This window comes from Homo sapiens, chromosome 13 (assembly GCF_000001405.40).
Source record: "Homo sapiens chromosome 13, GRCh38.p14 Primary Assembly".
Taxonomy (NCBI): Eukaryota; Metazoa; Chordata; class Mammalia; order Primates; family Hominidae; genus Homo; species Homo sapiens.
Window position 1 is genome coordinate 66,976,874 of NC_000013.11, and position 25,693 is coordinate 67,002,566.

The 25,693-nt window shown below is 33.9% G+C and overlaps 1 protein-coding gene and 2 long non-coding RNA genes across 8 annotated transcripts in view; 2 read left to right on the forward strand and 1 right to left on the reverse strand.

Annotated features, from left to right (window-relative positions):
• Positions 1 to 25,693, reverse strand: part of PCDH9 (protocadherin 9) — a 927,503-nt gene that overhangs the window by 674,040 nt on the left and 227,770 nt on the right. The gene's annotated exons all lie outside the window — the stretch shown is intronic.
• On the forward strand, positions 516 to 8,903 carry PCDH9-AS3 (PCDH9 antisense RNA 3). Its single transcript, NR_046636.1, has 3 exons — positions 516 to 658; positions 1,500 to 1,598; positions 8,624 to 8,903. It is a non-coding gene; the product is annotated as a PCDH9 antisense RNA 3 (long non-coding RNA).
• PCDH9-AS4 (PCDH9 antisense RNA 4) lies at positions 14,013 to 25,127 on the forward strand. The gene is made up of 3 exons (NR_046637.1): positions 14,013 to 14,226; positions 19,349 to 19,408; positions 24,973 to 25,127. It is a non-coding gene; the product is annotated as a PCDH9 antisense RNA 4 (long non-coding RNA).

Genomic DNA, 25,693 nt, shown 5'->3' on the forward strand with positions numbered 1-25,693 from the left:
ATTTTTTCATTGTATAATTCCTGAGGGTAAAGATAAAATCATAAAATCAGGCTTCTGAAATTTGAAACTAATTTTAGATTTTTGTTTTCCATTTAAACACTAATGTTGAAAAGCAGACCACTGCTCTGCACCCCAGTGATCCAAAGACTTAGTCTGTCATCTTTAAATGCTTTTCCTTACTTACCAGAGACCTTTAATAGGTTTGGGTTGGGTCATTTTATTTCTCATTCTGTTAATAGATTATCTTTATACTTCTCCCTCTGTGATAATTAATAAATAATATTTTGCTCTTTTTGAATGGTACACCTTTATATGTTTAGAATATATACCATCTATATGCTTGACATTTGGGGGATCTCGTCTAATTTTCAAAGGAAGAAGAAAAATCTGGCTTGCAGGGTGTTTAGAGTACGGTGATGACAGCCTTTATGCCAATTTCACAAGCATTGCAGCCTGAATCATAGGCTGTACTATAAACGGCAGCATATGGCTGGAGAGTCATAGCAGCAGGATAACGTGGTAGTGCCCAGATCACAGCTGTAGGCACATAAAGAAAGTTTTGATGCTGGTATCCATATCCCTCCTTCTCATCAACAACAAAAAGGATGACTACTTAAGATTCTGTTGTCTTAAAGGCTTTATTAAGTTATTGCCCAAGGTAGGAAAGGGATATTATTGTCTACATATGTTTGCCAGAATCATGCAGCTTCTCTATTCTGGCTTTCCGAGCAGGTGTCTCTTTAAGTACTTATTCTAAATGGAACACAACTGGGCGACATCAGAAAGGGCACTGTTGACAACTGTCATAGCAGGTTCCAGCTTGAATGGTAACTGAGCAGAAGGTATCTCTCCAGAGTACTTCAGATCATCCTAAAAGCAGCATCATTTCCACCAGGAACCCAGCTTCTACCAGAAAAGAGTGCTGGGAAATGGTGCTTCTGGTAAAATCTGATCTCCTCAGTGGAAATGCTCTATCCCACCAGATTTCGCATAGAAAATAGCTACAAGGCAATTAAAGGAATGCCGATTTTAAAGGCAAAAATATAATGTTTAGAGGAAGCACATAATGCAGACAGATGTTAATAATGTTAAGTGAAAATTTGCTAAATATTTTTTCATACCTGTTGTATCCCTTAAAACACTTTAAAGCCCTTTCGTAAGTGAAAAGAAACACTAAAATGTTCAATTGTTTAATTAGACATATAAAAGATTAATTTACCAGATAAGAGAAATGATGTTTTCAAGGTATAGTTTCAGGTTATTGATAGTTTGTTATTGTCTTGCATTTTAATTCTTGTTAGTTTGGAGTTTTGTTGTTGTTGCTGTTATTGTTGCTGTCACTGACCATAAGAAAATGGGAGAATTATGTTCAGATGCTGAAATTCAGGAGCCAATTTAAATGATAATTTTCAGATAGATCTTGTAAGGTATTTAGGGTAAAGTAACTCTGCAAACCAAATACAAAAAAAAAACAAACACTGATTTTTCTCCTTGCTTAGGATTATCCATCTGCAAAATAAAAGCAATTGCAATTTCTGCATGACTGCAAGAAAAATAGATACTATTCCTTAGTATGCTATTTTACAAGTTTCTTAAAGGTACCTATTGTGCAGATATATGTGATTAAAAAGTAAAATTTATTATGAGACATTCACATATGCTCCTATTTTAGTTTTTCTACATAGACTACAAAATATAATTATTCAGACTTCTTTTGTAGAAGTATGTGAATTATAGATCAGAGATTTATGTAAGGATTTATATATGGATTGCTTCTTTTCTTAGTTTATGCTACTATCTTCTATAAGAATATATATATTATATATAATTGTATAATATGTTGTTTCATAAGAATACATAAATATACATATGTAACTGTATATAAATGTATATGATTTTTGGCCTTAACTTCATATATATGTACATAAATGTATGTATATATGTGTGTATATATATGAATATGAATGTATGTATATATGTATATTTATATATGCATATGTATGAAGTTATTAAGGCCAAAATCATGTATATATTTACATACAGTTACATAGATATATATGTACTGTTATATAAAGTTATGAAGGCCAAAAATCTTATACATTTGTATTTATAAAGAACATACATTTTATTTATAAGGAACAACACAAAATTATCTTTTATTCTAATGTTGAATATCCATATTTGGGTAGCAAAGAAAGACATGACGTTTTGTTTTGTTTCGACAAGTTATAAGTGTTGAGTTCAGAAAAAATATCAGTATCAGAGCAAAGAGGTGAAATCCAAGACAAAAATGAAACAAAAACCTTGGAGTTTTCACTTCTTTGAGGGTTATCAACCTGGAATGCATGCAAAGATGGAGCCTAGGCAAACCTTCTCATAATTATGTTTTTCCATTACTTTAGTAACTGAATGCCCTTGTATAAATTCCAATGAAACCTTGCATCACATTTCATTGAGAAAATAAAAGACATTTGAAACTCCTTCATATTTTATCCAAAGTCTGTAAATCTACATGGTTCTGAATCTATTGTTTCTATTACCTTATTCATTATAAACAGTGAAGATATCTGTCTTCCTATTAAAAATTCATATGACTATCTGTGATCTAGAGCCCATTCCCTTTGTTCCACCTTATGTTTTCTCAAAGGCTTCTTTCTCCTGAATCTTCAGCATTCTTCTCTAATAGAATATTACAACAACATACAAATATTCTATAGTGACTCTCATTTTAAGATAAAACAGCCAAATCCACATCTCCTTCAAGATCTCTACTTTCTCTTCTCTCATTCATGTCCAAAATTCTTGAAACAGCCACCTATTCTGATCATATCCCCCCCTTACAACTCCAAACACTACATTTCTAAGACCACCAATAACCTCTGTGTCTGTCAAATCACAAACACTTTTCTGTGCTCATTTTATAAGATTTGACTATGTTGTACTTGAATCTCTCTCCTTCTTTTTTGTCTCTTGCCTATCCCTCTTTTTTCTCTTTAGCTTTGCCCACTCCACCATCTGCTATTTACCTTCTCCTATCCCTCCACCTTTTTCTTTCTTTCCTATCTAATTCTTTATTTAACTACTGACTGATGAAATTTCTCATAGCTCAGTGCTCAATACTTTTCTGTTCTCAAGGTGATATATTTTATTCCCATTGTTTCAAATACTATTTATGTAGCAATGACACTAACTTAAATTATCCATCTCTATCTATCTATCTATCTATCTATCTATCTATCTATCTATCTATCTATCTATCATCACTTCTGATCCTTCCATCAACTTGTTCCTTATTTCACTTCTTGATCTCAATGAAGGCAAAACTCGTTTTCATTTACTCATGTTCCCAAACTGGGGGACATTCTTAATGCCTCTATCTCCCACACCACCCCCATTCAATCCATCCAGAGATGATCTTCATCACACACACACGTACACACAAATGACTCCATCCAAGTCTAAGTCCATTTCCCACAAGACAAACAAGGTAATCTTGTAAAAGTATAATGGGATTATGCACTCCTCTACCTAAAATGGTTTTTCATCTAAAATCAGATAAAGATTTATTATCTTGGCCAATTTCTACAATTTCTAACCAATTTAATCTCTGCCCTGTGTTCTAGAAATTTTTATCTATCCTTCAGATCACAATTTGAATATTACTTCCTATAAGATACTTCTTGATTTGATATAAAATTGGTCCCTTTACCCTTTCTCATATGTTTTTATTTTTCCATTACAATCCTTATCACAATTTATAATCATATCTTCCTTTGCATGCTCACTTATTTAAAATTCTATCAATTGCTAATTTTTAGGATTCATAAAAATTTTGTTTTTTCCTGTTTTTTTCTTTGTTTTTTTTTTTGTTTTTTTTTTTACTATTTTATATCCTACTCCTTGCTTAGTACTTGGCACCCAGTAGGAGCTTATAAATATTTGTCAAATAAACAAATATCCTAACTAAACCTTTTAAGTAGTAAAGACCATTAGTGTGAACGTTTGTATAAATCTACAATGAAGTAAACAAAAAATAGATAAAAACATGCATGCTGATTCCAAGCTGTTTTATAAGCTATATTCATTTTATCATAGTCAGCCTTTGTGCAATGCTTATTAAAGTAAGCGCCATGTGTTTTTCCATAAAATCTATTTTAAACGTGTACTATATTCTACATGTTATAGCTATTAACAGAATACACAAATAAACAGAATATATACTGTCCATAAAGACATTTACAGAATATAATAAAATAAGACTAAGCATGAAATAGTAAAAGGTAGGCCGGTCGCGGTGGCTCACGCCTGTAATCCCAGCACTTCGGGAGGCCCAGGCGGGCGGATCACGAGGTGCGGAGATCAAGACCATCGTGGCTAACACGGTGAAACTCCGTCTCTACTAAAAATACAAAAAGTTAGCCGGGCGTGGTGGCAGGAGCCTGTAGTCCCAGCTACTCAGGAGGCTGAGGCAGGAGAATGGCGTGAACCCGGGAGGCGGAGGTTGCAATGAGCCGAGATCGTGCCACTGCACTCCAGCCTGGGTGACAGAGCGAGACTCCCTCTCAAAAAAAAAAAAAAAGAAAAAAAAAGTAAAAGATAATTCATTTATACTAAAAAAAGTACTTGAGCAGGATTTAGTTTTCCTTCATTATTTACTATAATTACTTATCTGAAATTTGATTCAATTTAAACTTATTGAATTATTACATCTTATTAGATCCTATTAATTATACAATTTCCAGCAAAAAGAAAAAAAGTATTTGATTAACTAATTATTTAAATTCTTGCTATTCCATAAAGTAAAACTCTTTACTTATTGGATGCAACCTATGTTTATACACTTTCCTGATTTCTCACAATGTCATTTGCAAACATTGTTAAATACTTAAAATAATGCTTATTAAAAATGTTATTAAATACATAAAATATTATTAAATACTGAAGAGCAAAGTTGAAAATTAACGTATCCCTAAAATTTATCACACAGGTAAAATTTATAACAGAAAATTACTCTAAGAGTAACTTATTTACCAGTAACACAAATATAAAATTAAATAATTGATATTGTTTGGATATTGGTCCCCCGCCCAAATCTCATGTTGAATTGTAATCACCAATGCTGGAGGTAGGGTCTAGTGAGAGGTGTTTGGATCATGGGGGCGGATCCCTCATGGCTTGATGCTGTCTTCATGATAGTGAGTTCTCCTGAGATCTGCTCCTTTAAAGGCATGTGGCACCCCTGCCCCACTCACTCTCTCTCTTGCTCCTGCTTTCACAATGTGAAGTGCCTGCTCCGGCTTCGCCTTCCACCGTGAGTAAAAGTTATCTGAGGTCTCCCTAGAAACCGAGCGATGTCAGCCCCATGCTTGTACAGCCTGCAGTGAGTGCTTGAGCCAGTTAAACCTCTTTTCTTTATAAATTACCCAGTCTCAGGTATTTCTTTATAGCAATGCATAAATGGCCTGATACAATAACCAATCCCTTATATCCGCTACTATAAAATATATGTTTGCCTATAGAACGCACTTCCAAGAAACACTAAAAAGTCATAATTACACCAAGTATGTAAAAGTAGGCATAGGCAAGTATTTGAATATAAGAGCTACATTATAATCCAATATTTGGTTATAAAGGTAGGACTAAAAATAGTTAAATTTGTTAAATATGTGAAAACTGTCTTCAAGCCCTACCTACCCCGGGTTCTCCTGGAATGAGGATCACTCCACCTACTCATCTCATCTACCAAGTCTTCCTCTCAGAAATGTCTTAGATAATTTCTGCCACCTCTGTCGAAACTAACTTGTTCAGGGTAGGACTCCCCTGAAACCCTACCTTGTAAACAAACAGTGACTCCACATTCTTTAATCAGAAATTCTGGAAAAAGAGAAAACAACACCTGGATTCTTCAATCTCGCTGGCAACATTTGTTTCTTAATTTCAAACAGAATAATTTTATAAATGTATTTTTCAAAATAATAATGTTGATTCTTGGTCTTGACTTACATTCAAATTTACTCTATGTTCTATGACTTCAAGAGTGAAATTTTCATTAGGCCTTTAAATTTGAAGATGTTATTAGAGAAAAAATGTAGCTTAATGGAAAAAGACAAAGCTTCTTTATGTTTGTCAAGTAAAATGTTTATAAAAGTTCTGAGAAATGGGGCAGTTCACCTATAGGGGAGTCCCACTCAGTGTAGAAGCTCATAGTTAGGAATCAAATAGAAGAATAGCTAATGGATGCTAAGCTTAATACTTAAGTGATAAGTTGATCTGTGCAGCAAATCACCACGGCAGACGTTTACCTATGTAAAAAAACCTGCACGTCCTGCACGTGTACCCCAGAACTTAACACAAACTAGAAGTTAAAGAAGAAAAATGAATAAAAATAATAAATGAGATTAGGCATTTGGCACATAAAAAAATTTAAAAATTAAAAAAATAAAAAGTCACTTTGTAGAATGAAATTTGCCGATTACTTACAATGAAAGAATGCTTTGTTCCCCTTTACTATCCATTAGAGTTGGGTCACTAAGAAAAAAAAGTTTTCATTTCCAATTCATGAAAAAGTGAGTGTGAAAAAAAATAAAAGGAGAAAACAGAAATGTAATTAGCCAAATATAAATAGTCTTTGGATTATTCACTGCTTTACTTTATCCTTTTGAGAAGGTAATTGGGAACTGATTATGTTCTCAGAATTACTGGAGATGCTGCAGATGGCTTTAAAAATATTCTCAAATTAAAACACAAGTATGTGTGTGCTCTGGCGACAGAAATCATAAAACTTTACTTCATAAACTCACTCTTTTTTAAAAAAAACTTTTATTTTAGGTTCAGGGCTACATGTGTAGGTTTCTTTTACAGGTAAACTCATTGCACAGGGGTTTGTTATGCAGATTATTTTGTGACCGAGGAGGTGCTAAGCCTAGTACCCAATCGTTTTTTTTGTTTTTTTTTGTTTTTGTTTTTGTTTTTTGCTCCTCTCCCTTCTCCCACCCTCCACCCTCAGGCAGGCCCCAGTGTCACAAACTCACCCTTATTTTCCCTGAGATAATCCAATGAAAAATATTTTATTCTATTGAAAAGCTACTCTTTGTAAAAGTTCTCATCCTGAGCATTATATTCTAATAAATAACAACTAAACATACAAGAAAGAGATGCTCATAATCATAGACATTCTGCTATAATTTATATATCTTTTATTCATATTATATAAATATTCACACCTAATTATAACATTCACAATTTTATGAAAACAGATGTAAATGAAATTGTAACTTTATCAAATATTAGACTAGGATGGAGGAAACCTCTTTACTACGTCAGATTCCAGTTACTGTAACACAAAACAGGGAAATTGCTCACCATATATTTCTTTAAAAATGGCTGGAATAACATTTGCCATCTACAAGGGTTTCCTTAACAATTACTTAAATCAGATATTTATGTACTGATGTAAATTGTCAGATGATTTTAAGATAGCTATAGTCTACATTTCCAAACCAACTTCATTTTTCCACCTCTTGAGTGTTTCCATAACAGATTTGCATGTGTTGCAATAGAAAAACACATACTGCCTGAGTGCTCTGATGATGTTACTTCTAGAGCCTTCCCTGGTACAGCTTGTTTTGACCTAGGACAAATCACTGAAACCATCTGGTCTTTGGCTTCTTCATTTTTAAAAGGGTAGAGGGAAATATTTGGATCTGATGAATGCAAAAAATTTTTTTAAGATTCTAATGCTAAAATGGAATCTTACACATTGGTTAGTCCCAAGAAAGTAAATAACAGAAAGAAAATCTATCTACATATGATGAATTGCAAAGGGAATAATTTAACTATAATTTCAATTTACTATCAACATGATTCCATTAAATGACTTTGACCATCATTTTCTCTTTTAGCAAAATAATTTACAAAAACATTTATAAAGGAGATATGTGTATATTTTCTTTCTGTTTTTAGGGGTCACTGGGCTTTTAATAATTTCCTATATGGTTTTCTAAGGACAATTTTAAAACTTTGTTTATATGTGTGGACCCCCCATCTCAATCTCCCTGTTCCCATTGCATTGGCTGTCTCCCAGTTCTTCTAAAATCCATAGGAATCCTTGCCTTAGGTTACTTGCACTTGCTGTTATTTCTGCCTAATAAACTCCTTCTACTAATTATTGCTTGCCTGGATCATTTGGAACACAATTCAGCTCTCATCCTCCATTAAATTGTACCTCACTGGCCTAGCCATCACTGTCTGTTATAGTCTCTACTATTATTCCTCAATATTTACCTTTTCCATGGTTCCTATTGCAAGATAAAATTCTTTTATGCTCAACCTTGACAAGAATATATATTCTTTCTGTCTTCTTTACTACAGTGCCAAGATCAATCCCTGGCAATAAATCCTGTCTTTGTTGAATGAATAGGAAAGTACCTTTGGGCATGTGTAGCCTGTAAGCTACATTATTATTAAAATATTAATTTAAAATTTATTCAAACTTAAGCAGTTATGATTATGTTACATATTTAAATTGTTTCCATAATTTGACCCATGAATAAGTAACTATTCCTAGTATAGTACATTGTATATACAGTTAAATGCTTACACATGTTCTTTTTTTCTCTTAAAGGTTATTTGAAATTTCAGATGGTAACAAGCTTGGAATTGTCTTTTTCTTCAGCTATGGACTGTATCAAAGTTTATGGGCTATAATTGTATTTTGGTTTCTGCCAGGCATCAGGATAGCTCATTTGCATGACTGGTACAAAATTTACTTATTCAGTGAATCATGCTCAGCTGCTGTACTGTTCAATCTGTAATAATAACTGCAGGGTGACTGACTAACGATAACTAATCTTCTCTCAACTACAAAAGCATGTAAATTAGTAAAATAAATGTTTAGTTGTGTATGTGTGTGTGTTTGCATGTTGGAGTTGGGGTGGATTATGCTCTTCAATTTCAATGCAACGCTGCACACCCTTAATCAATCTGGAGAAAAAAATGTGCAGAAAAATGACAGTCAATCCTAGCCACAAATCAGTAGTCATTATATCCATTCTCTTAGCCATGAATATGACATAAAACTTTATAAATGAATACATTGTCTATTTTTTAGTGGTGAGGTGTATTAGTCTGTTCTCATGCTACTATAAAGAGCTGCCAGAGACTGGGTAATTAATTTTAAAAAAGGTTAAATGACTCATAGTTCTGCATGGCTGGGGAGGCCTCAGGAAACTTATAATCATGGTGGAAGGGGAAGCAAACATGTCTTCTTCACATGGCAGCAGGAAGGAAAAGTGCTGATCCAAGGGGGAAAAGACCCTTATAAAACCATCAGATCTCATGAGATTTCACTCACTATCACAAGAACAGCATGGGAGTAACTGGCTTCATGATTCAATTACCTCCCACCATGTCCCTCCCATGACAGTGGGGATAATGAGAACTACAATTCAAGATGAGATTTGGGTGGGGACACAGGCAAACCATATCATAAAGTCTCTTCATCACATCACCCAAAGTAGAAACTGAAGCATTTCCTGCATCTTCTTGGCACCCTTATGAATTAATGATCATGACAAAACAAATGCAACTGAATAATCTGTTTTTCACTGGGATATGGAATTCAGTATAACTTGAAGTTACCTTTAAACTGTGGTATTAGAAATAAGCAAAGTCCAAATACTAGATAGTTCATTTACACAATTGAAGAGGAGAAGAATGACATAGATATAGCTACTTGTTTTATTTAGGAATATAATTAGCTAAACATCTTATTAATACTTCTATAGCAGACTTTCAATAATGATTTTCCAACAGATTTTAGGGTACTAAAACCATGATGATTTGAGATGTTTAAAAATAGATAGGAAGATATTTTCAATTCCACTGTATATTAACCTACATACTGCTACACAAGATGATTGTTTCATTTTCAATAATTTTTAAAGTGTTTAAAATAAAATGAAAACAAACATACAACTGAATAAAATGGAAAAATGAACCACAGAGAATAGATATAGTGTGGTTCCATTACTATAGTATCTATGTATATATAATAAATAGGCATATATCATACACATTCCAGATGATGTTTATGATATATTACCTATATCACAGATAGAAAAATTGAGGAAATAATTCAAACTAAACTGTTAATTGAGACTACTTGCAAAAATGGCATTTGAGAGGGCAGAGATTTGATTTTTAATTTTCAAATGTTAGTTTTACTTAAATTTATTACAATGAATATGTATGTTCTTATAATTTAAAAGTAAATAAAATTGGCTCTGATTTAGATTTTGGATGTTTCCATTTTATTTATTCAATATATGCTTTGTAATATGTATATTTTGAGCTTCTTGGAAGCATTCAAAATAGAGTTATTTTAACAATTTCAAGGCTAAATAAACACTGCTATTTTTCTTCAGCATCCATGTGAAATGTCTGTAGAGCCCAGCTTCCTTGCCTGTTTATAAACACTCAGAGGACCCTGGTGTGATCAGTGGCATCATTACATTACTGCTTAATAGCACATGCTGTTGATACATTAATTGTGTTATTGACTATTTTAAAAGTTTATGACCTCATCTGCATTCCAGTTTGACCTTGTTTTGCACTTTTTGAGTGAATTGCCACATTCAACAACCTACGTAATGTAATATGTATTATATTAATAAATTTATAAAATGAAATGAAGAGCTAGCTGATACGCACCTCATTTTTTTAATCAACTAAGTCATTGTTAGGTAGACTCTATATTATGAAGAATTGCATAATTGCAAAACTGTGATGGTACAGCTTCATGATTAGAAAAGATATTCCAATTTTTTTGTAATTTTATTTTAAATAATAATTATCAGATGAACAGGCTGGGAGATATTCTTATGGTTTTAAGCAAGGGAAATGGCTCTTAACTTCATATAAATGTCTTATTTGAAAATGTCAAATGGATTCAGAATGTTCTCCTTGACACCATAAATAACTATTCAAAATAATATTTTAAGTGGAAATTTTAATAATTTAGTTTATTTTTTGTTTTTATTTTTTGAGACAGGGTCTTTGTCTGTTTCCCAGGCTGGAGTGCAGTGCTAGAATTATAGCTTATTGGGCTCAATAAGTTCTTGGGCTCAAGTGATCCTCCTGCCTCAGCTTCCCTGGTAGATGGAACTAAAGTGTGTGGCACTATGGTCAGCTAATATTTATTTACTTATTGTAGAGACAGGGCCTGACTATATTGTCCAGGCTGTTCCCAAACTCCTGGGCTCAAGAGATCCTTGCACCTTGGGAACTTTTATTTCTAAAACCCAAGTAAAGTCTTTACTTCCTAAGAAATGAAAGTTGACTGGGAAATATTTCTTAGTTAATTGAGGCCATAGAAATTTGTTCAGGATTGCAATATGAAAAATTAAACCTTGTATTTTACAGGTAATCTTTTAACACGTAGTCTGATGTTTACATAACAAAATATCACTTTTGGCATGTTTGCCAGTTTCCCTTCCTTTTCTACTCTCAGAACTCTAAGGAAAATGGAAACAACAGCTCCTTATGCTATTTATCCTCACTAAGCACAAAATAGCATGTTTGTGAATTTTACATTCTAAGAGAAGTTGGACAAGGTGTTACATTCCATAGCAGAAAGGATGACACAGACTTTGGGATATTTATTGAATTTTCATTATTGGAGAGTATTGCTATATAAGGTTGTGATTGCTTAGATAGTTTAGAAAGTGGAACACACAAAGTATTTCCCAGACGGAATGTAAATAAAGGAATCTGGAAATAATACAAATGAAAGAATGAGGAAATAATTAGTGGAAATTAGAATTTCAGAGTTTGATTCAATAGGGACAGTCATCTATTCTTATTTATTTTTAATGATGAAGAAATGAACGTCTAGAACTATTAGATGACTTGTTCACAGCTTCTGAATTCATAGGTAGTGCAATGGTGATGTTAAACTAAGAGGTCTTGCTACTCTTTATCCAGAGCGTTATTACTGATTGCGATTACAGAAGACTATGGAAAGCCAATGAAGACAACCAGATGATGTGCAAAGTTGCTAACACATGAAGGAGATGTAATTTCTTTCATATGTTAGAAATTTCATATTAGAGATATTCATGTTATAGATACTCACATGCAGCAAACTTGTTTGGAGCACAACATATACACTAAGTGACAACTGGGACTACTAACAGAATAGGTGAGTCTAAGAGAAGGGATTTTGGGGGCAGGAATTAAAGATTTACACTCCATTCCCAACCATGGTGAATAAGTATTGGAATAAATATTATATATGTTACAAATCATGAATTCATTGTGATTTCAATTAATATAATGTGGAGTAGCTGGGATGTGGAATATTTTAAAAGTCATTTTATAGATAAGTTTATGGTTATCACTCATTAAATTAGCTAGAAATATTTTCCACATCTGGCCCACCAAAATCCCAAATGACCTTATGAAGTTAGAAAGTCACATCACTATTAGGAATAGAAAAGTTCCTTCACACAGAGATTGTAGCCATTAAATGTACTAAAATTTAATTTCATCTTTCCAACGATTTGCTTCCTATGCTCATACAAATACAATTATTTGAGAAACAGAATAAAATGTATTCCTCAACTAATTTTATCAAGTAATGAATGTCACTTCCTGATTGTAGAAATAGCACTTTATGAAATTACTCCATGATCCCAAGTCTTTTTTTCACTCAACCTCTTTACCAGGAAGACTTTCATCTCAGCTTCAGCTCTAAATCACTTTATTCATGAATAATGAACTAACGATCCTGTGTACTTGTGAATTATTTTAGATATCTAAATTATTGTTAAAATTTACATTCTCACTTTATGTGACAGAATGTCTAATTGAATATGCACTTGGTATAGCAGCCACTTCCTCAGACTCTCAGAGAATATTAAAGAACAGGGTGAGGTATTAGCAAAACGGGAACATAAAAAATTGAACAAAAAGGTATATTTCCTCACACTAACAGCATTTTTACCTGCACTGTAGAACAATTAAGAATTACTATTCTGCTAAGTGCCTAGGCCATTTTCTTAGAAGAAACAAATAAGCACTCTGTAACAGCACATTTCAAAGACTGATAACAAAATTTTCAGTGCATAGCAGTATAATAAATGTATCATTAACTCTTTGTAACTAACAAAGATATTTAAGATGGAAGAAAAAATGTTTTGGGTTTCTTCGTTTTGTTTTTCTGTAATTATCTGCAAAATTTTTAAAGCCTTAGCAAATTTTAATAATAGTCCAGTGAATGACCCCATTAATCTAAAGGCTAAACTGGATGAAGCCTAAATAATCATCTTGTATGTCTTTATATCTTGAGTGCTAAACAGAATAAAGTTCTACAACTTGGAATATTTTAAACAATTATAAGCAACAAACTCCAAGCATTAGCTATGCCTGGATTGGTGAAAACTTGAGTGACAGTACTTGTTAATACAGTTCATCATCTCCCTCTCTTTCCTTTGCTCAAAAGAATATAACATTTTTCATACTCTAAAAGAATATATTAAGCAAATGTAAGAAGATACATATACATATACATATAGGTTAGGTTCTTACATTTGCTTAATATATCATATTCTTTTTTATATGTAAAAGAATATATCATTAGTATATCATATTCTTGTATATACTCATATATACAGAATATGTATATTCTTTTATATATAAAAACATATATACACATATATAAAACAAATATATACATATAAACACATATATATAAAAACATGTATACATAAATATACATATATATATAATTCAGTGACAAGCACAATTGATAGCAATTTCTCACTTCAAAAATTCACATCTCTGAAGAGGGTAAAGTAGATGTTTCCACACTGAATTTCTAGTAATAATAATATTTATGTTTACTTAATTTGATGTAATCATCATCCAGCAGATAATCAATATATTTCCATCTTCCAACTCCTACTTATCCAAACTTTGACAAAAATGCTCCATGTTGTTTATAACAGATAACTTTTTCTAGTCAACAATACGCTTATTACATAAAATATCCATGAAAATGGGACCTGGGCATTATCTCTCAAGTTTGGTTTCCTTATTATTGTTTAATGTTAATTTTCTTTTCCAGAAGGCTCATCTGAATATATTTTTAATATTAGCGGGTTTTTAGAAAAAAATACGTCCTTGACTCCAACTTGCCAGTTACACATCTCATCTGGACCAGAGTCGGTAATATATTTTCTTGTTATTTTTCTGTGATACAGTGTCCTGAATCTGTCAACAGTGCATAACTTATCTCTATATATGACAGGATTAAGAGGGAGCTCCAAGACATCAGCAGGTGTAAACCCAATTTTGTAAGATCAATCCATTACTATCTAAAAACTATAAATAGAGAAGAGTAGATGAGACACATTTTTTTTTTCCATTGCAGTGGACAAGAGCAAGGCTAGTGGACGTTATAAAGTATTTGATCATGTATGTCAAGATGAAGAATGTATGAATTATGTAGTCTTACCAAAATTAACTGTCTCCTATATATGTTACCAAAAGGTTGCATACTAATAAGAAAAAATATATATTAAAGAATCATGAGAGATCTCAAAATAAAATTACTTTCTCCAGTTACATAATATTTTTGAAAGCATAATTTTGATTTCTTTATAAACTTAGAATCCTTTATTAATTCAGTTTTCTTCAAATTTGACTTATATATTGAAATTTCATTTGACTAACTACTTTTTAATTCCATTAACATTTTCACCTGAACTCAAGTCTGAAAAATAATTTTGAATGAACATTTAGAATGAAGTTGATGTGAAAACAAACAAACAGAATCCGAAACAAAATGAATTCTGTATTTCAGAAGTAAAGCACCCTTTTCATAAAGGAAATAAAATATTTTCCTCCATGGAAAATAATAGTGTTTCAATGAAGGATACTAATAAATTTCACTAGCATAAATGGAAACAAGAAAAAGATGTAACATAAAAATCATAGTGCATATTCATGATATTAAGAGAAGTCTCATGCATTAATGTTTAGGAAGGTAGATAAAGATAGATTATTGTGTTTAAGTATATGGGTTTTTTTTAAATTTAAGATCATATTCTTCCAATTTGGTGGCAGTTTTAAGTCTGTATTTGATAGAATAAATGTTTTTGTCTAATGTTACAATGAAAGGCAGTTTCATATACTCCAGATTTTTTGATAAATATATTAGGATAATGACCAGTAACCTCTACATAATGTTTTATGACTGGTGACCTAGCAGTGAGCACATTATAACCAGAGGATTCTGGAAGAAGAAAGGCAAAGATATTCCCTAGAAAAACAAATGTTTCGATCATCTCTACTGATAACTGCACTCTTCAAGTAGTTTCTGAGTACTTACTGTGTTTTACATCTATGCTAGTGGTGAGAGTGCAGTGGAGGAAAGGTACTGCCACTCTGTCAAGAACAAGCTATGGATCTAACATGATATTGGGGAAATCACCCCCTCCAGCGGAATGATGCAAGCTGAAATTCATACCAAGCCTTCAGAAATCCTGTTTGCTTTCCTTGGCAGTGCACCAGCCTGACTCCATCTAAACAATGGTCTTCTTTTTAACTCCTGTTCCTCTTTGGTGACTTTAATTCATTTATTCTTTAATATATGTCAGCACACTTCTGTTGGAAGACGAGCTCTTTTAATTTTGCAACTCTTTAATTTGTTTCCACTTCACAACTCCCTGACATTCTTAGATAATTGTAATGGTTGGTTATATATTTATATATATAGGCTAATTGATTACTTATTTCAGGCATAAAGCCCTGAACAAGTTTGAACTAGTCACAGCAACAAACTGAACTGATAAAAATGCCTGCCTTAGAAGACAAAAAATAGCACAGAAGAGAAAACAGGCCACAGAATTTCCTCATTAAGGATCTTCTAGGGCCAAAGTATATCATATTGTCTATCAGTTGTCTTTATTAGCATGTAAATCAGAGATAAAGAGTGAAAGTGTTGCGTCACTTCAAGCTCTGACTCCTAAAAAAAAAAAAAAAGATCCTGAATGGACTACATCTAAAATGTAAAATAGCAGCAAAGAAGAAAACATGTCTGGCCATACCATATGTGAAGGAAATGTTTAACATTAAAGTTAAGACAATAAAATTTAAATTTCCCATGAAATGAACTCTAGAGGGGACAAAAAATAATTTGCAATCTTCATAAAGTGACTCGTCTCATGAAACAGAAGTATTGCTAACACTAGTTATCATTTCAGTGATTCCACAAAGAATTTCCCACTAAAAATACTTAGTTTTTATGTCATGGAATACATAGTCACCATTTATGAAATATATATTTAAAAGAATAAATGAACATATATTAAATTTAAAAACAATTAACCAAGAAAATGGTTGTATTTATTTTCCTGAATTTACCTGATATTTACTTGGGATACTGAATATGAAAACGTGACATCAATAATTCTAACTTCCTAAAAAATATATTTGCTGCTTGTAAGAGTAATCATTTCAGAAAGCAAAATTATTAGTATGATGATAAAATAAATGAAAAGAACTTGGGTAGCTTCTCTGCTTTTTACCTGAAGCTTCTGATTTACTTTGAAGGGACAGGGAATGGGGAGGCTGAATTAGTGGACCTCCCTACCAACTTGCACAAAGATGATGAATAGGGAAAAAGATTCAAAGTTTTGGCCACTATCATACCATTTACTATTTACTTTATCCTCCTCATACCTTGGTTTAAAATGCAGGACAGGCATACAAAAGCTAACAAGGGTGGGAGGAAAGCAATCAATGAGTGAATAAGCTGTGAAATAATCTGGTAAGAATCCTGATTTAGAAAATCATTTTTTAAAATTACGTATCTTATAATCACACGAAAAATATTTTCAATGGCTTGAGATAAATGGGATCAGAATTCTATAATCATTCAATTATATTAAGTCCCTTTAGTGGCTAGAGGGAAATTGGATTTGCTGATTGATTGATCGATTGATTGTCTACGGCATTTGCATCAGCCGAGATCTAGTTGGAATACAGAGAGCCCGTTAGTTGTTTAAACAGAGAGAATTTAACATGGGGAATTGTTAATTGTTGGAGGACTAAAGGTACAAATAAAAAGTGAGAAAAAGAAAGAAAGAAAAAGGACACTGATGTAGCCTAGTAATGAAAAATTGCGAGAAAAACTAGAATACCTGTAGAGCTTAGGAAACAGAAGGAAGGATTTCGGAGTTATCAGAGACTAAAAGTCTGGCACAGAGCCCTATGGAATTGGGACTCAGCCTTCCACGGAGAGGAAACTGACTGGCGACTCTTGGTAACTCCAAGAGAGAGTGATGAAACTGATTCCAGGAATGCAAAAAAGAAACCAAGAAACTGGCACTGCAACCAGCAAATGGCTGCTGCCAGGATGAAGTGCCATTGCTGCGGCAACCCTGAAAGGAACGGCCTGCAAAGCCGGACGCAGTAGCTCCCCTCACCCCGCCATTCGGTCTCCCTCTAGCGTGCCCTACTGGCCAAACTTATTAAGAAGCCAGATGGCAAAGCGGATATGCAGAGCGCTGAGACTAGCCCGGGGAATCACAAAGCTGGTGGGTTTGGAGCTGAAAGATAACAGCTTAAAAACTGGCACTGACGTTGAATTAAGGAAATTAAGATGTGATAACTGATAAGAATTCTTTCATTCTAAATCATAATATTATTCTGTGGTAAAAACAAGCTGAGGTACTGACTCCAGAAATAGAGCTGAGCCTGTCCAGAGGCTAGATGGCTGGGGACTTCTGAGAGCAACAGAAAAGATGAAAATGTTCAAAGCACAATTTTGTCATCTGATCTCCTTTTTTGAGTCTCCTTTGAAAGAATCACTTCCTCGGTGCTTCAGTGACATTCTCTATAAAACTGTACTGACTTTTTACCCTACTCTACGCTATATATAAATATAAGCCAAAACCACATAGGACCTGGCTATATTTGGTATGCCTCATCTATCATGGATAGTTAATTTGTGCATTCATCTTTTAAAACTAATAATGAATTTCTAAAACCTTTTAAACGGGCTTAAGTTTTGTAATCCATTTACGGAACATGCCTGCAATGAAAAATTAATTATTAAACAAGAGCCTTGGGAGGACATCAGCGGCCTTGTCACCCACGCACTTGATTGATAACATGTCAGTTTCCAGACCACGGAGGGTGCTGACAGCTCTCAAATTTAAACCCGGAAGGGTAATGCTAAGCATGTCATGGCATAAGTCACATTTTTAAATTATTTTTTATTAAATGTTAGATAGAATAAATTCATCCATGCCTCTCAAACTCAGCCTGATTAAATGAGCTGGCACTCTTTCAAATGTAAAGCATGGTTATGGCTTCTCAAGGGCATCGGAAAGGCTGAAGCATAAGACACGGTAAATACAAAAGGCAAAAGAGGTGGACAGTGATATATTCACAAGCACCACGGGCGAAGTGAGGTTTTTAAAAATGCTGAGGCTAACAAAACAAGGGCAGCACGGTCCCCAAATGGTAAATGCACCTGCAGTGAGAGACTCTGCTTGAGTGCTGGTGCATAAAAGTGTCCACCACTAAGGGAAAAAAACAACAGTAACAACAACAAAACCCTAAGAAACAGAAAGGAACAGCTGTAACCAATTTTCAAACCCTAAGTTTTGAGGTTGGGTTAGGAAGTTAGAATTGTTCCATGTTTGTGTCAGTTCTACCCTTTAATTTCACAAAGTTAAGATGGTTTTCTGTGACTATAAAAAAAGAAAAGAACATCTGTTATAGTGTGTCTTCCTGTAGCAAAGACTACTGCTTCTTGAGCTTTTCTTCTTTCAGGCAAACCTCAATCTCATTCTATAAAAAGATTGAAAAATTATGTATATCAAATATACTCGAGCAGTTCAGAGAGAACATATCATCTGCATTACTGCTGTCTAAAAATCCTCTGATATACTGAATTCAAACTAAAAGAACCTAAATGAAGAAAACAATAATTTACTTAGACCCAACTGGGTCACAATATTTGAAAAATGATACAGATTATTTTCTCTGTATACTATGAATTATTGTATTAACTTCATTTATTTTTTTTCAATAATTATTTGCAATTAATTCGGCTGATGGGCTAAACTCTCCAGAAGATACAAATATGTGAACAACACTGTCTAGTCTTGCAGAGCTTTGTATTTAATGGGAAGATACAGTAAAGGAAAATGTTCTGTCTTATCTGAGAGGCACAAGGAAAGTGCTATGTAAACTGAAGCTTGGGTTCTCAGAAGAGGTTTCATTAAGAGAATATCTTACCAGCGGGACATTTTATTGAATGTTACTATTTTTCCAGGTAGTTGGAGTACATTGGTGAATAGTCACCACTCTCTGCCCTTGTGAAGCTTGTATTCTAGTGAGTACAGACAAGTAATATTCAATACACAGTAATAAATATGTTATATGACATGTTAGAACATTAGTGTTTAAAAAAAAAAGAAAAAGCACAGGATAGTTGGGATTCTGAGTTCTTCATGCTGGGAATGAGTGATTATAGTTTTAATTAGGGTGGGTGAGGTAGGCCTCACAGAGAAAGAGATATTTGAAAAAAGATTCTACTACATTCTTTCAACTTTTAAACTAAATAAATTTAATTGTTAAAGAATAAGTAATTTGATATGTGAAGAATTTTAATAAGCATTGCTAGTGTGAGAGTGTTTCAAGAAAGGAAATAGCATCAACATTATAAATTAAGTTTATGTGTATGCTCAGTGCCTAGTACCAAACTGACATACAGTAAGCACACAAAAATGTTTACTGAATAAATGTACAAGTAAACTGATAGTATTATGAAATCCCTGAATGAATGTGTCTAAATGTGAATAGTACTGTTTGGCTAGTAAGTGTCTGGTTTCTTGCAGAATCGTAAAAGAAAAAGCTAACAAGTTAGGTGGAGACCTTACTCCAAATGCAAAATTAAAGGATTTTTATAGAAAATTCAGTATAGAATTGAAAACTAAGTTTTTAGCATCAAGGAAGAAAAGAACAGAGAAAAAGAGTTGTTGACAGGAATAGCATTGTGCTTTGAAGTGGTGGTTAAGTTTGATTAGATATGAAAGACACTGGAAATGTGGGAGGTGATTATTAGACTCCTAAATACCCCTTTCAAGAGATAACACAGACTTAAGGTAATATTATCATATTGGAACTTGAAAACTGGGCTATATCCAAAAGAAACTTATCCATTCATTCATGGAATCTTTTATTTAGGAAGTGTGTTCGTTCATTTGCATTGCTATAAACGAATACCTGAGGCTGGGTAATTCATAAAGAAAAGAGGCTTATCTGGCTCATGGTTCTACAGGCTGGACAGGAAGCATGGTCTGGCATCTACTTCTGGTGAGGGCCTCAGGAAATTTACAATTATAACAGAAGGTGAAGGGAAGCCAGCATATCACATGGCAAGGGCAGGAGCAAGAAAGGGAGGGAGAAGGTGCCAGGCTCTTTTAAGCAACCAAATCCTATGTGAACTCATAGAGGGAGAACTCATTACCAGGAGGACAGCACCAAGCCATTCATGAGAGATGCACTCCCATGACCCAGACACCACCCATTAGGCTCGTCACCAACACTGGAGGTCTGTTTTGTTTTGTTTTGTTTTGTTTTGTTTTGTTTTGTTTTGTTTCTGAGACGGAGTCTCACTCTGTTGCCCAGGCTGGAGTGAAGTGGCACAATCTTGGCTCACTGCAAACTCCGCCTCCCGGCTTCAAGCCATTCTCCTGCCTCAGCCTCCCGAGTAGCTGGGACTACGGGCGCACATCACCATGCCTAGCTAATTTTTGTATTTTTAGTAGAGACGGGGTTTCACCATGTTGGCCAGGCTGGTCTCGATCCCCTGACCTCGTGATCCGCCTGCCTTGGCCTCCCAAAGAGCTGGGATTACAGGCATGAGCCACCGCGCCTGGACTGGAGGTCATATTTCAACATGAGATTTAGAGGGAACAAAACAACCAAACCATATCAGGATGAAAAGAAAGAAAAAATAAAAATTCTGGGCCAGGTTACATGAAACACTAGAATAGAGGATGAAACCTGTCAGTTTGTGTTTGTTTGTTTGTTTAATTCTCTTAGCACTCACAATGCAATCATAAAGATATGTAGATGCAGATTGTGATTTTTGATATTATACAATGAGAGTGCAAAGTGATATGAGAAAATTTTATATGAAGAATTATCTAAATTGGACACCCACTGGGGCCTTCAGGGTAAATAATGATTAATCCAGTTTAGAGAGTGGCAACAGTGTCCACAAGTGAGAAGAGAATGTGCCAGGGCCCGAGGAACAAATCAAGGAGATTAGAAGAGGGCAGGAATAGCAAGGAGATGATAATCTGGAGATTGTTGGTTTAAGGAGTTCTTGGAATTGAAGAAAATTAATAGCAATGTGTCAACCAATAGAGTTGTTCCTTGGGAAACTCCATAAATGGGTCTTCAACTACCACACATGCCAATTAGCTAGTAGTTTTAAAATATCTGTCTATAGCTCTGCTCACTCTTCTGAGTTCTGTACTCTCACAATCCTACTTCCTATTGTGATTCCAACCTGAGTGTGTGTGTGTCTGTGTCACTCAGATCAATATATTCCCAAATTAAACCTATACATCTCCCTTACTTCTTCAAACTTCCTCTTCCCCTTTTTACTTAGTTGGTGAAAGAAACAAAGTTTTCATCTCAGCAGTTGCCAAAATTAAGGAAAACATAATTCAGGCATCGTTGACTTCTCCCTCTTCCTCATAGTTAGCCAGGTCCACTTCTACTCACACATTCCTGCCAGTTGTCTCTGCAATGTCTCCTATAACCAGCCCTTACACTCAATTATCAGTTCAGTTTCTCATCAATCTTCCACTCAGACTGTTGTAATTAAATTCTAATTGTTCTTCTTTCCTTTATTCCTTGTTGTTCTTCAATTCATTCTTTCTAATGCTGCCCATGAAGTCTCTACACAATGAAAGCGCCACAAAATGTCATATTATTAAGGCTCAATTAAAAAAATTAAATAAAGAGCAACAAAATACTTCAGTCAATTGTTATCAACTGCAAATATAACCCAAGATAAACCATAAATTCCTTTGAAATGCTCAGAGTCCTTTGCCATCAAAATCAACCTTCTGTCCATCCTGTAATAACAGCCATTTCCCTAGCCAATCATCCTTTAGAACGTCTTGCTTCCCAAGCAAATTGGGTTCTTGCCTATCTCTCTGCCTTTGCTCAGATTGTGCATGTTATTCATTTGTCCTCAGTCTCACAAACACACACTTACACTTCAAGGCCCAGTTAAAATGTCATTTAATATCTAAATTCAATTAATACAGCCTGAAATGTCAGGCAAAGTTGAGATACAGGTTTCAGTCAGCAGCAAATAGTAGAAATATTGATAATAGATGACAGTAGAAAAGGAAGATCCCTTAAAAAAAGAAGTGAAGGAAGAGGAGCAAACCCAATTATAGTTCTAAGGACTATACTTCAAGGTTCTATGTTCTTTGAATTTTTAAACTAAATATAATTAGTTTTTATACCATTAAACTAAATATATTTAACTGTTTAAGAAAAAAGTTTTTAGTTTAATTAAACTAAAGAGCTTCTGCACAGCAAAAGAAACTACCATCAGAGTGAACAGGCAACCTACAAAATGGGAGAAAATTTTCACAACCTACTCATCTGACAAAGGGCTAATATCCAGAATCTACAATGAACTCAAACAAATTTACAAGAAAAAAACAAACAACCCCATCAAAAAGTGGGTGAAGGACATGAACAGACACTTCTCAAAAGAAGACATTTATGCAGCCAAAAGACACATGAAAAAATGCTCACCATCACTGGCCATCAGAGAAATGCAAATCAAAACCACAATGAGATACCATCTCACACCAGTTAGAATGGCAATCATTAAAAAGTCAGGAAACAACAGGTGCTGGAGAGAGGATGTGGAGAAATAGGAACACTACACTGTTGGTGGGACTGTAAACTAGTTCAACCATTGTGGAAGTCAGTGTGGCGATTCCTCAGGGATCTAGAACTAGAAATACCATTTGACCCAGCCATCCCATTACTGGGTATATACCCAAAGGGCTATAAATCATGCCGCTATAAAGACACATGCACACGTATGTTTATTGCGGCACTATTCACAATAGCAAAGATTTGGAACCAACCCAAATGTCCAACAATGATAGGCTGGATTAAGAAAATGTGGCACATATACACCATGGAATACTATGCAGCCATAAAAAATGATGAGTTCATGTCCTTTGTAGGGACATGGATGAAATTGGAAATCATCATTTTCAGTAAACTATCGCAGGGACAAAAAACCAAACACTGCATATTCTCACTCATAGGTGGGAATTGAACAATGAGAACACGTGGACACAGGAAGGGGAACATCACACTCTGGGGACTGTTGTGGGGTGGGGGAGGGGGGAGGGATAGCACTAGGAGATACACCTAATGCTAAATGACGAGTTAATGGGTGCAGCACACCAGCATGGCACATGTATACATATGTAACTAACCTGCACATTGTGCACATGTACCCTAAAACTTAAAGTATAATAATAATAAAATAAAATAAAAAAAAGACTTTATAGAAAAACTGTTAAAACTACTAAACAAATCCAATAAAGTTGGAGGATACAAAATAAATTTACAAAAATTCGAAAAAAAGAAAAAAGTTTTTATACAGTTAAACTAAATATATTTAACTATTAAAGGAATAGGTAACTTGACATCATTCCTATTCTTCAATCACGTTTCTGGGAAAATAAAGTTCACAAATAATAGAATCAATATTTCTTTGTGCAGTAAGAAACTAATACCATTCTTAATTTCTATCCATGCTAAAAAGGGGATTTCCAGATTAATTCATGACGAAGTGATTATATTCACAGTGCTTTTAAATAGTGTAAAGCTAAGAGACAAATAGCAAAATATTTTCTTCTGTTTTAAAATATTACTTTCCTGATCCTTTTAAAGTGCTAAAGTCATTTATAGAAAATCTTTATTGGTAGTTTTTGACTTGCATTTATCAAATACGTACTATGGGCCTGTCAGTTTTCTAAGTATTTATTTACAAAATGGTAGATGAGGAATAGCAATTACAACTACCCACATTTCACAAAAGATTAAACCAAGACTTTAGAAAGGCAAACTATCTTGCCAAAGTCACATAGCTAATAAGTTCGATACAGAAGTAAGTGTGTCTGATTCAAATGTTTATTTTCCAACTAGAGAGCCGATAAGCTTGTTTTTATAACAACATACATAAATAAAAGTGGAGATTTGATGTTTGGATTACGATTCAAATATAGTTATTGTGCTTCTATTGACCACATTAATTAGTATTTAATGTAAAACAGCAAACTGATTTTAAAACTGAACTCAACACTTAAAAATTGTGTCTTGAGAGTTTTAAGAATTATGTCCTTGAAAATGATGTCACCGGTTGTAAAGGGGCAAGAATAGGGAGCTATGCCATGCTGCAGGGAATCCCAAGTTTTAGTTTGTTAATTTCTCACTACTTAGAAAACAAGGGTAGAGAGAAATCCCAATAAGGGAAAAGCAGTGGCTTGTTCCCTGGCTGGCATGGTCTGAGAATGCTCTTGGTACAGCATTCTAAGTACCTAGGAGAGAATGTCAATCCCCTTGGTTTAATTAGGACCAGTGTTGTTTGGCTGTGACTGAAAGAGAGAGAGAGGGCAACATGGGATCTAAGAAACAGCAGGAACAGACGGGGCTGTGTACGCTTAGTGGGGCAGAGGGGACGGCAGAGTCCCCCAAGGTAACAGTGAATCCCAGGTACCCCGCTTAAGAGCAGAACCTTGAGGAGACCATCTTTGTCACTCCCAAACTTGGATATATTAGCTATATTAGGCTTCTTTAGCTTTTACTTCTTTCTTGCCTTGTTTTAATTTCTCCCAGTACAGGTAACTACACGGCAGAAAACTTGTAAGAATTTAGTCATGATCAGGAAGATTTTCAGCTTATTGATGTTTCCTCACAGTTCTTGTCCAAAAATGCGGGTTTCCACTGTATTGAATCACTTCTTAAATAAATATTGATTATGTGAAATAGTACCAAGAAATGTGCTCCTTGTTTTCAGAAAGAGTTACAGCCACACTAGTTATATAAGAAGTAAGCTAGTTAGATTCTCTTGTAGAATGTCTTTATCTTCAGATTTCCTTGGGGTGAAAATTTTAAAAGATTCAAAATATTTGGTTTTATGTAAAGCCACACCATTAATTGTTAAAATATAGAAAGCAGAGTAATTATGAAGAAAAATATTTATTATTAAAAATTTAATTTGCTATGTCAATAACCTCACTATTAAACAGATATTTACTAAGGATTTTAAAGCTGCTTATATAAATTCATAAGCTAGTCAATAACTTCCTAATTAAACTCAAATTTAAAAATGGATACAATGAAGTTCTCAAAATTTATATTAAAATGCTTATGCTTATAATCTAGGCATATACGTGATATTGTATTTTATACTGTTAGAATGGTAATCAAATATGTTTGTCTGAATTTTTAAATTTATTAAGTCTGTCCTAAAAGTCACTATTCTGTTTTAAAATTAATTTTACAATTAATCAAGAGTCTAAGAATTAAATATTTACATTTCTCATTTCTCTTTTTT